This window comes from Homo sapiens, chromosome 10 (assembly GCF_000001405.40).
Source record: "Homo sapiens chromosome 10, GRCh38.p14 Primary Assembly".
NCBI lineage: Eukaryota > Metazoa > Chordata > Mammalia > Primates > Hominidae > Homo > Homo sapiens.
Genome location: NC_000010.11, coordinates 43,994,108 through 44,008,002, shown reverse-complemented (window position 1 = coordinate 44,008,002; position 13,895 = coordinate 43,994,108). Strand labels below are relative to the sequence as shown.

At 43.1% G+C, this 13,895-nt stretch overlaps 1 annotated feature.

The window, feature by feature from the left end:
• Positions 1,623 to 2,196: an enhancer, noted in NCBI's record as "H3K4me1 hESC enhancer chr10:44501255-44501828 (GRCh37/hg19 assembly coordinates)". NCBI's record gives its function as "activates a minimal SCP1, AML or CMV promoter by ChIP-STARR-seq in primed H9 embryonic stem cells {active_cell/tissue: H9 hESC(primed)}" and the evidence as "EXISTENCE:reporter gene assay evidence [ECO:0000049][PMID:30033119]".

The window sequence follows — 13,895 nt, the reverse complement described above, 5'->3', positions numbered from 1 at the left end:
ACCTCTTTGCTGATGGTGTTCCCTGCTCTTCTCTTCCCCCAAGAAGAATTAGTTCTTCCCTGTTGATGGCTTTCTAATTGTTTTATTTACCCCAGCTACAGTATTGATTACTCCCCAATTATTTGCATAAACTCTACTTCTCGACCCACTCAGCTACTTCATGGAGACCTATAATGCTAATACCATAGGAAAGCTTCTGGTCCTGGAAATTAAAAAACAAGAAGTTGAGCCCAGAAACCACACGGCAGGGAAAATGTAGAGTGTGAGAGACAGGGCTGGTGGTGGTATGGGTTGATCTAGGCAGTGGGTGAGTGAGTCTTTCTCAAGACAGTTCATTGAGGGATTTGGAAAGAAAGCACAGGTGTCCCACTGGCTATTAGGCATGCATGTGGATTTGGGCGCCTTGGTCTGGTGGGGTAACACTCCTCACATCACACCAGCTGGGAATAAGTGGGAATTACCTTCTCAGTCTGGAGCTCTTTGTAAATGTTTGTACTATTCTTTCCATGAAGGCAAAGCTAGCGAAGAGGGACAAAACCGTGGCCCCAAGAGACACTCTTTCCTGGGAAGGAACTTGAAAGAGGGAGGTTCTCCAGGGCTGCCTGCAATGGTCTCTTCATCCATCCAACCAACTTGAGTTTAGTCAGCACCAGTTGTGGGTTAGGGACAGTGGTAAGTTCTAGGAAGGGAGGGCAGATTCTCAGACCTCTTTTCTAGAGGAAGATGAAAGAGGTCTTCTTGACAAATTTCCCAAACCCAAAGAAGAAAGTAGAGTGAAAACAAGTGAGGCAGATGGGGCGAGGACCCCCAGTCGCAAATCTGGGTTTGTCATAGTCAGGGCAAGAAGAGCAGGTCCCCCTGGCAAGTCCTGACTGGGGTTTCTCTGGGGGCAGTTCCCAGGAATACAACCAGGAAATGATTATCTCAGTGTTTAACCCTAAATGTGGGCCCCAGCACTGTGAGGAAGAAGGAGAGCCAAGTCAGGTGTGACATTTGCACATAGAGTCACTGCTGGGGGATTGTGTAAGCAGGGAGGTGCCTTAAGTGGGTGCTGGTTTTCCCCAACCCACAGAATGTGCACAGTTGGGAAAGAATTCCTCCACAGCGCTTGTGACACAGAAGCCAAAACACTTACTTTTTTCAAAATGAATGTGTTGGGAAGCTGGGAGAAAGAGAGAGGCTGGGGACAAGAGAGAGAGGAACTGATTCTACTCCATTTGGGGAGGAAAGAGTAGAGGGTTCAGAGAGGAAGAAAACATCTCGATAAACCTAGAAGGGGGATATGAGCGTGTCACCTGGAAAGGGAAGGGCAAGAGCAACCTTGGCAGAGAAAACTCCATGAAGTGTGGCCAGAGCACAGGCTTTGAGAAAGACACTGAGAAATAAGATCAGACAGGTGGAGAGGCTACACCTCAGAGGGCCGCGCAGGACGCACTAGGACGTTGTGTTTCTTTGGATAGAATGATCTCCCTTAACCTTCAAACTCCTTAAGGACCCTGATCTCCTATCCCCTAAGGGTCTTAGGTCATAGCCTAAAGGGAACCCCTGTGCACATAATTTATTTTAAATATTTTTAAATATTCCAGTTTTATCTTCTACTCTGTAAGTACGTTGATATTTGTTTTAATGTTCAAAAATAGTTCTAAGCTTCACGTAAAATGGGTGCTCCAGAGTAAGACAGGACATCTCCCAGGAGTCTTTTGGTGCCCTAGAACCCAGGGAAGTGCCCCCAGGGGGTCACGCAGCTCAGCCTGAGAAGAACGGTTACATGCAACCCGGAGTCCTCGAAGCATTTTAAGAAGCAGAGTAATTTTAGTAAATTAAGAAGCCACCTAGGTTATGAGATTTGGGGCTGATGGGCAGTGGGACAGTACAAGAGGCGTCAAAGTGGAGACTGTCAGGGCCTGGCAATGGTGGGAAGGGGGGCGGGGTGCAGGAAAATGTTCTCCGCTTGGGAGCAGTGAGAGAACCGGGAAACAGCTGTAGAAAGGGAAAGGAGAGGCGGGGGGCTGGTGCCAGTCAAAAGAGGCATTTACAATACCTACTGCCCCTGGCAAGGCAGGCACCAGCCACAGAGCAGATGCCGGCCAGGGCACCATGCTGATGTGTGTCAGCAGCTGCGTGCCCAGGCCGGAGAGCTCGCAGTGGAGATGGGGGTGGGGGGACACCCACAGAGTGGCCGCAGCACCGCAGGTTCTCCGGAGCTGTGGAATCGAAATACGAGGTGTAGGTGGCCCCTGTAATGCTAATGGTGTAATGCCGGCGAACGGGAAAAATGACTTCTTGATAAACGTGGCTCTGCCCTTCACACGTGCTTTCGTGGGAAAAAAGAGAAACACCAGGGCACTCAGGCGCAGGTTCCTGGCCGGCCGGGGCATGCGGGTCAGCGAGAAGCAGCGCTGGCTCCGACACCCGCTTCATAAACTCGGCGCATGTTCACGCTTTGCACAGTCACCCTCCGTGAATGCGGGGTCATTTACCTTACTTTTCTGTAGCGGTAAAGCTAACCCAAAAATATAAAAACAAAAGAAAATAAACAATTCCTTTCCCATTAGCTCTAAACGCTGATGGGGAAAGGAGGCGCAAAGGCCTGTCGGAGCCCTGCCCCACGACTTTAGGGTTCAGCAGCTGCCAATTTACCCCGAACAGCGGACTTCCAGAGCCCGGGGAGCGGGGACCACCCAGGCTCTGGGGCCCTGCGGGCTCCTGCCCCAGCACAGCGTTGGGAAGGGCCTGGACCTGTGTCCTTACACTCACGGTGGAGGAGCAAGGAACACAGGGTGCTATCTGACCGCAATCAGGGCCTCACGTGCTTTTGCCATGCTCATCTCCGGTCCCCTTCTTCCTGGTCCTTGAAAAAAATGTAAGCTCAGGAAGGGGAAATCCCCGCCAAACGGCAGCCCAGCCTCTGCTTAGAAACTTCGGGCCACAAGGACTTCAGTTCCTCCAGGCAGAGCCCGCAGTCTTTCGACATTCCTGCCTATGTGGTTTTCTTTCTGCATAGCTCCCCATAGTCCCTTTGGAGGGACCAAGGAGCAGTGCGGCATCTAGGCGGCTCCCGGAGTTTTCTTAGTGGCAGGATGCTGCCAATGAAGGGACCCTCCCCTGACTGTGGAGACGTGGGACCTGAGCATGTTATACTTTCTGAACATCATCTCGGAGCCCTTCGCGTTCAGGTGGCTGAACACTCTGCCCCGACCATTGGTTTCTGTGGCAGGCAGAGGGTGTATATGTGTGTATTGTGGGAAATTCTCCCTTGCAATTTCGGCCATTTCTCCTCTTGGCAAGCAGGTCAACTAGTAAGGAGGACATCTTGTTTGGATGGGTGAATGCTAACTGATTTCTGCTCATTTGCATCTGCAGATGCAAAGCCGACTCCCAGGGCATTTTCCCAATTTTTCTTCTGCCCCAGCCCATGTCCAGTCACTCTTCCTGATTAGAGAAAACCTAAATGGCAGGGCCATGTGGTCTCACCTTTAGCCAAGGCTTCTCGAATCCTTTTCTTTTCTTTCTTTTCTTTTCTTTTATTTATTTATTTTTTATTTTTGTTGTTGTTGTTGATACAGAGTCTCGCTCTGTCGCTTGGGCTGGAGTACAATGGCATGATCTCTGCTCACTGCAAGCTTTGTCTGCCGGGTTCAAGTGATTCTCCTGCCTTAGCCTCCCAGGTAGCTGGGACTACAGGCACCTGCCACCACACCTGGCTAATTTTTGTATTTTTAATAGTGACAGGGTTTCGCCATGTTGGCCAGGCTGGTCTCAAACTCCTGACTTCAGGTGATCTGCCCGCCTCGGCATCCCAAAGTGCTGGGATTACAGGCATGAGCCACCATGCCTGGCCCTGATTTCTTTTATGCAGTGAAAATGAACCCTAAGCCATCCATAATGCAGAACTCCCTCTCCAACTTGGAAGCTGTTTGTAAGGCTGTCATCATCTCTCACCTCCAAGGGCTCTCTCTTCCCCTGCGTTAAGAGAGATGCTTACCTTGCCTTAGTACCCTCTTCTAATTTGGTCTAAAATTTATTGCATTCTGTATATATTCTTCCATTCTTCCATTGGAAGAGTTCCAAACAACTCTTCCATTGAGTTGTTTCTTTGTTTCACCAATGACCAACTCTTTCTTTATACTGGGGTCTTTTTCTTCATGGGGGGCATTCCAAGAGGGAAGTTTTATAAATATGTACTTCATCTACAAGCTTCCTAGGAACTCTTGCTTTATTTTTCATGGTGCCTTATTGGACACATATAAGTTTATTCATATTATTTCTTTATTGCTAATTGTACCTTTCATCAATAATATAACTTTCCTCATGTTTGTTAATCTTTCTTTCACTAAATTCTACTTTTCATGAAAGTGGTCTTTATGGAAAGGAGCTGCATGTGAGCAGCAGTGCGGAGGGTATCTGTGCCTAGCTTTACTTGGCATGATTCTATATCTTTTTAAGTGTTTTATTTTGTTAGCTGTAGTTGATTCTATTTCATAATTTAAGCTGAATGACTTAATATATATTGTTCTTAATTCCATCATCTCATTTTATGCTTTCTACTTTGGTAAGCTTTTACTGTTTCTTTTGTGCTTTTCTTAAGGACATCTCCTTTGTTTTTATTTTCTTCATTGATTTGGAAGCGTATATCCTGTATCTAATTTATTTCTGGTATCCTTCAAGATTTTCCAAAACATACATCTTTCTTTGTTTTTCTCTAATTGTCAAATTCAAGAAAATTTAATAACTTTTGACCCTCCCTTAGATGAAAAATGTTTGCATGCTTTTATTCATTTGCTTATGCCAGAATGATTATTTTTATTATTTTACTATTTAAATGTCATGTACCTTCTGGTTTTATATATATATATATATATATATTTTTTTACAAACAACTTTGACTCTTTATTTACAAAACTATTGAATATCTGGCTCTACATGTGTACCTGGTAATAATGCTAACCATCATTATTTTTGTTTTTTTTTTTTTTTTTTTTTTTTGGAGACAGAGTCTCACTCTGTCACCAGGCTGCAGTGCAGTGGCACGATCTTGGCTCACGGCAACTTCTGCCTCCCAGGTTCAAGTGATTCTCCTGCCACAGCTTCCCAAGTAGATGGGATTACAGGCATCCGCCATCACGCTAGGCTAATTTTTTTATTTTTAGTAGAGACGGGGTTTCACCATGTTAGCCAAGCTGGTCTCGAACTCCTGACCTCAAGTGATCTGCCCTCCTTGGCCTCCCAAAGTGCTGGGATTACAGGCGTGAGCCACCACGCCCAACCACTACCAGTTTTTTACATTATCATCTCCCTATTCTTAAATATTTGCGTTTGATTTATTTCTCACTCTACCGGTAAGTTTTCTGAGAAAGGCACATGTGTCTTGGATAACCAAACATGTCTTTCTTATAGGCTGAACGTAGAAATTTTGAATCTCTGTATCTTTCCCCAGAAAAATGTACAGGACTCCCTGCAGTATTCTCTATTGCTTAATGTCAGAAGAATTTTCTAAAATCTCTGGAAGATTTTTTTCTAAATATTTTCCTTGTAATTTTCCTTTTGGGCAGTTATTCTTCATCACTGAAATTAAGACATTTGGGCAGAGTATATCTGCATGCAAAGTTCTATTCACAATATGATCGATTTTATTGGAAAAGTCCAGATATCCTATTATAACCTCAAAAGCTTTCTTCCAGGTGACGATTGTTTTTTGCCACATTTCTTTTAGCTTTTGTTAGCAGAATGCCACATAGTCATAAATTGGATTTTCCATTATTGATATCTATTTTATTTCCTCTCATCATATTCTACTTATATATTCATTCTGCTTTCTTAGACAGCCTATGAAGTTTGGCCTCCAGGTAACTGATTTTTTTTTTTTAATTGCCAACTCCTTTTTTCACTCTTTATGGTACAGGTTTTAATTTTGTAACAGAGTCCTTGGCATTCTTACCTCTCTTAGCTTTTATCAAGTCTTTTTTTTAATTTCAGCCCACTTCAACCTCTTTCATATGATTATCTTTATTTCATAAACTTTGTGATTTTTTTTACTATGATAAAGATGTATTAGTCTGTACAAGTTGGTTTTGATAAGCTATTAGTTCCTTGTTGCAGTAAATTGTCAAGCTTTTCACTGTGACAGTATTTTCCCACACACATCAGAATCTGGAAGTAATATGCCTTTCTCAAATTGTTATTTAGTGCTTTTTTTCCACACCCCTCAAAACAGAAATAGATTTTTAAATATCAACTAGCCATTATGAAAGTCATAAGAGACAGATATTCATAAACATTACACAAGCTACAATTGAGGTACCTGGACAAGCAATAGCAACATTTACAAAAAAAGATGCTGGTTTTGAAAGTGGTTAGGACTAGGAGTTATGATACACTCTATTCATGTCCTTCTGAAACCAAAATGGGGGGAAACCTTATTGTCATTCTGCCAAACATCACAAAACTAAAAATGCTGCATAAAGGGTCATGAATCCAATATACGTATCACAGGATTAAAACTCCAGTTAAACATATGAGCTAATCCTTGAAGTAAATTAAAAATCCCAAACTTCTTAAACATATCAGTGCTATTTTAGAAGCATCATCAGAACAAATAGAGATTCAATTATAAATTGGCCTGGGTTACATTCTGTAATGAGAATTTTGCTTAGTCTAAAAGAGAATCTCCAACGTCTTAGAAAAGCTGTGGAATCACAGTTTTTGTTATTCCACAAAGGAAATTTGCCAGGTTTGATGATACCTGCATACCTCCCTGTGGTTCTAGGAGTTCCACATACCAAATAATTCAGTAACTGATAGGAGTATTCAAGCAAAAAGAATACCAAAAGCAGACCTTCTATCAACATACACTAGATTGATGGATTTTTAATTACATGATAAATGTAAATCATAAAGTTGAATGTACTTAACAAGGTAGAACTATTTTATGCAATACAAAAAACTGTAGGCTAGCCATGGTGGCTCATGCCTGTAATCCCAGCACTTTGGGAGGCTGAGACAGGTGGATCACTAGAGGTCAGGAGTTCAAGACCAACCTGGCCAACTTGGTGAAACCCTGTCTTTACTAAAAATACAAAAATTATCCTGGCATAATGGCGCCTGTAATCCCAGCTACTCAGGAGGCTGAGGCTGGAGAATCATTTGAACCCAGGAGGCGGAGGTTGCAGTGAGCTGAATTTGCACCATTGTACTCCAGGCTGGGAGACAGAGAGACTCCGTCTAAAAAAAAAAAAAACTGTCAACTGCAAACTGTGCATGCCTGCCATCATGTTTTACCTGGGAAAGCCAGTGAGTAGGATTTTTTGCAAATATTTACTGCCGATTTTATGATTTTTTATACTTTATTCTGAGCATAGAAGACATATGAATATTAAAGTTTTATTCTGTTATAGGTGGTGAATCATTTTCTTCATATCCTTAGATTAATCATTTTTTCTCTTTTAGTCCCAGTGTCTTATTTCATAAAGTTCTAATAAGACAAGAAAACTCTTGAGGTTCTTTGCCAACAGGTGGGAAAAAGTATCTCCTTTTTTCTCACCTGCAGGAGCTTAAGCTAAGGGACAGGTGGTGATGTGATAACTGTGGGTGAAATTCCCTTGTCTATCAGGAGCTGATTCATATGTCTCTATTGAACTGGCGTGGCCTGTCCTCTGCTGGGATGGCCCAGGGTGCTGACTGTGAAGAGGAGACAGTGCTCTGGGTGAGTGGACACACACTGTCCTTCGTCTTTGCTGAAGGTATTTTATGCACAGTGGCAGTGCCCAGAGTGGGGGATTCCCTATCGTTCCCACTGTTTCCTTTTTTGTTTGTTTGTTTGTTTTGTTTTTGAGATAGAGTCTAGCTCTGTCGCCCAGGCTGGAGCTCATTGCAAGCTCTGCCTCCCGGGTTCACGCCATTCTCCTGCCCCAGCCTCCCGAGTAGCTGGGACTACAGGTGCCCGCCACCACACCTGGCTAACTTTTTGCATTTTTTAGTAGAGACGGGGTTTTCACCGTGTTAGCCAGGATGGTCTCGATCTCCTGACCTCGTGATCCATCCACCTCGGCCTCCCAAAGTGCTGGGATTACAGGCGTGAGCCACCATACCCGACCCCAACTGTTTTCATCATCTCTTCTGTTGAGTTCAATTTCTTGATGCAGTGAATCACTGTGTGAACACTTAAACACTCAAGTAACAATGTGCATAATAGATGTGACAACAGAGAAATTCTCGATTGGGTGGCTGGGCATAGAAGTGGTAGGGTAAGGAAAGACTTGAGCATCTCAAAAGCAAATCCTCTTACTGGGAATTGGTGGCCAGGCTTTCTGGTTGACACCTGGGACCAGGTCTCCAAGGCAGAACCACGCAGATGGAGTGAAGGCAAACAGTCTCCTTCCTGCTTCCTCCCCAGTGTGGTGGTGTTCAGAGCTTTGGATATGAGCTGTATGTAAATCACTTACGGAAGTTCCACAGCTGGGCTCAGTGATCAAACCTCTTATTTCCAGCCCTACACGTTTTGCACCTTTTTCTTTATTCCCTGGGAATTCCACTGGAAAGTGGAAGATATTTATTCAGGCATAGGTAGCAAGTTTCATTCATAACCTGGAAATCTCCTTGTGTATACTTTATCTTCTTATATGGTGTGTACTTTTGTAAACTGTTTCAAATACTTTATTAAATAAAGTATGTTACATGTGAAAAAAATAATTAAAACTAAACACGTTAAGTCTCTGAAAACTAAGCCTCTAGTACTTGATAAAGCCAGAAGCAATTTTCCAGAACACTTGACCATATCTATGCCTTATAATTTTCGTGTAATACAAGCTCTGCTGAATTCCATTAAATGTTTCCATTGGGTAGATTATCAAAGGTTGCCTTTTGCTTGGCTTGTCAACAGATTACTTTACCTGAGCATATCTTCCTCGAGGCATGTTCTGAAGGAAGACAGGCAATTGCAGTCCTTGGTAACTCACATTCAAGGTCACTCAGCAAACTGGCAGGCAGGGATTGCAATGCTGAGTTCATCATTCTCATAACTATGCTGATCTACAGAGAGGTAGGGAATGTGTCTCTTTCAAAGATTGACCAAAGAACAGTAAATGGACCTCTCTGCAGAGATTGTATCAGGCAAAATGCATCAGTGGAAGGATCCTGAGCCAGCTGCTCAACAGTGAGGGCCCTACACATTCACTGGCCTCTTCAATGGTGGAGAACTCATCCCCGCGTCTCTTTCTACAGAAAACACTGAACACATCTGCCACGTGCAGTGGGTTCCCGCTCTGCAAAGGCTCTGGGCTACTGACATCAAAGGGAACCTGAAACCACAACACTGGCATTTGAAAAAGAAAATGCTGAAGCTGAAATGGCCTTTCTCTTCCAGCTTTTGCTTTGGAATTCACCAAAGCCAGACCCAAGGAATGTGATGACATTCTAAAAGCCTGTGATTAATTCATGCTGGTCCCCAAGCCTTGCCCCTCAGTGCCACATGGTGAAGCAGTTACCACCACCTGGTTTTCTTCCACAGCCAGACAGCACTTCCAAGATTTCCAGTCATCACTTGGACAGAGATAGGCTTGAGTGTGCAGATTTCTCTAGTGCTGTGTTATACAGATCTTTCTCCTCCACACCCTCACTGAGATTCCCTTGCTAAATACCCCTGCCTGCAGATAGATGATTTACACACATCATTGATTGCTTTTTTTTTCAATGACTTGTTCTATTTGGGATATTTAGCTCCCTGTTCCATGTTTTTGTACAAGTAGGAGGCTAAGGTAGCAGGAAATGGAAGTTCCCCAGAGAAGTCACAGTGATAAATGAGGCCATGCAAGGCTATTTATATACAGGAAACAATAGAAGCAAAAAAATGAGGCAACTCCTCAAACTTTTCAAGTTGTTTTAAATCAATAGTGCTGGGATTTGGAGGGTTTATTTGTTTTGTTTTGTTTTTGGTTTTGGTTTTGTTTTTGGTTGGGTTTTGGTTTTGGTTGGGTTTTGGTTTTTTGGCCAAACGCAAAGTTTTGAAAAATATAAATTATTTCCTTTGGCTTAAAAAGAATTAGTATATATGAGAAAAACTGTATTGTAATTATTCAAAGCATATGTATATGTGTGTGTATACACCGCTGTCACACACACACACAGACACACATATATTTGAATGTGAGTTTTTATGCTGCCTAGATCAGAATATTACAGGATTTTAATTAAAATCCAGAAAATAAAAATGCATCAGCCAATGCCACAGTGAGGAAATGCTCTAAAAAAGCAGAAGGCACACACCAACTGTTCTCTAGGGAGGAGGACAGTGTTGCTGGGATCACGCAGTTCTGGATGGCTCTGTGTGGCCTTGGTGGTCTGCAAGATAAGAAGTTGAGCCTGACATGATGGTTGTCTACTAATGACCTCAGCCCCTCAACCTCTGAGGCTTGGCCAGGATACTGAGAAACTGAAGGTCAAAGAGCTCAGTGGGAGAGAAGCCTTGACCTGGTTTCACTGTAACACGGCAAGATCATTTCTAGTCTGAGCCTACAGCAAACTTCAGGTTTTCCCGGAGGACACTCAGTCTGCTCCATGCCAACAGGAGTGGAGTAGCATTCTTTTTTTTTTTTTTTTTTGAGATGGAGTACAATAGCATGACCTTGGCTCACTGCCACCTCCACCTTCTGGGTTCAAGTGATTCTCCTGTCTCAGCCTCCAGAGTAGCTGGGATCACAGGTGCCCACCACCACACCCAGCTAATTTTTTGTATTTTTAGTAGAGAGAGGGTTTCACCATGTTGGCCAGGCTGGTCTCGAATGTCTAACCTCAGGTGATCCACCTGCCTCGGCCTCCCAAAGTGCTAGGATTACAGGCCTGAGCCACTGTGCCCAGCCTGGAGTAGCGTTCTTTCAGCATTCTGGCTGCAGGAAGGATCCAGGGCTCTAGGACTGAGCCTCATCCAACTGTGTACGTTTCAGGTCATTGGTGAGGAGTGCAGCGTTGTTATGAACTGCAAATACAATTGCCAAAAAATAGATATGTCACCCCAAGTTGCAACAAAAGGCATCAGGCCCAGGACTCGCTCTTCTTGATCAAGAAGTGCTGATAAATAAAGAGGCTTCATCTGAGTAACTCTGAAGAATATCCTGGAATTGGTTACCCACAGGCTTTCACCACAGTTTAGGTTCTAGATGTAACATGGCCCACGTATTTCAACAGAGTTCAATATGACTACCTGAATTAATATAGCCCAGAGCCAAATTGAGATCTTGCTAGAGCCTTTGAGTTGCCTTTTTAACTGGGTCTGTCTGCTGCAGGTCCCCAGAATTTCTTCTGCTTTCCTCTTGGATTCCTGAAAACAATAGAGATGGTCTATGTGAAGGCCCACCTGGGGCAAGCCCAGGTTCCAGGTACCATCTAAATCGCGCCAGAGAAAGGATGAGACACGGTGAACTGGTCGAGCTTCTCTCTAGTTTCTGGACATAGAGGCCAGGGAGACCGTCTGGATGTCACCGTGGAGCTGGGAAGGCCTCTGAAGGGCGATTCTTTGAGCAATGGCTGAGCCGCCTCACCTGCCTCTCATGCCTCTCCTCGCTCTGATTAGCATCCTTCCACACTGACCCACCCTCACCAAGCTTTAGCAGGGCTTCCTGGCCGCCATGTCCTCTGGACTCTTTCCAGTCCTCCTGGTGGATGCCTCCCTCTTCCTGCACCCTCTTCTGTGATGCACAGCTGCTCATTCTCCTCCTTCCTTCTCTCCCCCGTGGGCTTCTCTTCCTCCGCCTGCCTACTAAGTCTCAGCATCTCTCTGGTCTGTCCTCAAAGCTCTTTCTGTCTCCTTCACCCTTTGCTCAAATGGCACCACACACTCTCACTCCCCAGATGCTCTGAGGACTCCTGAGTCCGTATCCTCAAGATAAATGTAAACCTCTTCCTCTCGATGGGCATTCCCAGCTGTGTATTTCAAATGGATGAATTTTATGGTGTGTGCATTGTATCTTTATTTTTCTAATAGCTTCAGGAGTACAAGTGGTTTCCAGCTACAAGGATGAACTGTATAGTGGTGAAGTCTGAAATTTTAGCACACCCATCACCCAAGCAGTGTCCATTATACCCAATATGTAGTTCTTTTAATCCCTTACACCTCTTCAAACCCTCCCCACTTGTGAGTCTCCGGTGTCCAACATATCACTCTCCATGCTTTTGTGTACCCATATATCAGCTCCCACTTATAAGTGAGAACACATGGTATTTGGTTTTCCATTCCTAAGTTACTTAACTTGGAATAATGGCCTCCAATTCCATCCAAGTTACTGTAAAATACATTTTTTTATGGAAGAGTAGTAGTGAATTGTATCTTAATAAAGATATTAAAAAAGAAAAACTGCATGTCAGCCCATTGATATGCTAACCTACCACACACTCAGATTAGCCTCTCCATCCTCTGGCCAGAGTTTCAGCTCTAACTCTCCTCCCATTGCAGCACACTGCATTTCAAATACAGCAATTCATGACCACATTTAAAACAGTTAAATGTTTATACATGGTTCATACATGCTATTTCCCATCTCTGCAACACCTCTCCCCCCAATCCCTTGGTTTTCTGATGAATGCCCACTTATTCCCTACTCCCCCAATGGCAGGTGGCATTTGATCCCGCCTTCCTCTGCACATGGGTCCATTATATCACTTATCTCATGGCACTAAGAATTCAAGCCTAGGGCTTTTCCTAAATGCCAGGGAGTAGGGGTAGAGGAAAAAGAGAGAGGACTCTGGAATCAGATAGACCTGAGTTTCAATCCCAAATACATCACTGTATTATGCTAGCCAAGGGAATTAGCCTTTCTGAGTGTCAGTTTCACTGACACTCCTGTTTACAAAAACAGGATTAACAATATACAACTGATAAATTGCTTTGGGGACAATTACATGAGATGAGGTACATAAGGTGATTGATACACTCAACTTTCCATTTTTCGTCTTGTACCTTGATTATTTTTGCATGTTTGGCCATAACTGAATGTTTGATGTAGACAATCCATAAAGTTTTTATTAAGTGAATGAATAAATACTTTTTCTACTCTCATTTGTGGGACCCACCTTTTTGGGTAGTCACTCATTGAGAATTGTTCTGACTCTTTACATGGGCAGAATAGGGTCAATAATGTAGGGCCTGAAGGGTTGAAATTGCTATCACTGTTATTACTCCTCTCCTACTACCGATGATGATGATGATGATGATGATGATGATGATGATGATGATGGAGATGATGAGGAGGAGCATGATAAAGATGATGATGGTGAGGATGATGATGAGGATAATGGTGATAATGGTGATGGTGATATTGGTAATAGTGATGATGGTGAGGATGATGAGGGTGATGATGATAGTAATGATGGTGAGGATAATGATAGTGATGATGAGGATGATGGTGATGGTGATAAGGATCACGGTGAGAGTGATGATGATAAGTAGGAGGAGGAGGAGGAGGATGACAATGATGATGGCATGAATCAACACTGTCTAGGACTTTATAAAGAGCTTTCAACCAAGGCAATCATTCAAATAAAATATAGTAAAACCATTAGAACATTAGGATTTAGTAAACTGCCTTCAGCAAAATGGCAGGTTATAAAACATCAAAGAGTATTTTTAAGCATAAGCAGCAAGTATTTAGAAAATAAAATATTAAAGGACATCCCATTAGTGTGCAAAAACAATAATAAAAATGTCTAGGATAAACTAAACAAAAAATACTTGAAGGATTTTTATGAGAAACACTTTAAATTTCTAAGGAACATAGGAGACCTAATATTTTGAAGTTATACCTTGACCTTGAGTATTACAAAAAGATCAACTTTCATTCCTCATATATATTATCTTATTCTAGAACCATGAAACCTATTTGTAAAGTTCATCTGGAAACATTATTATG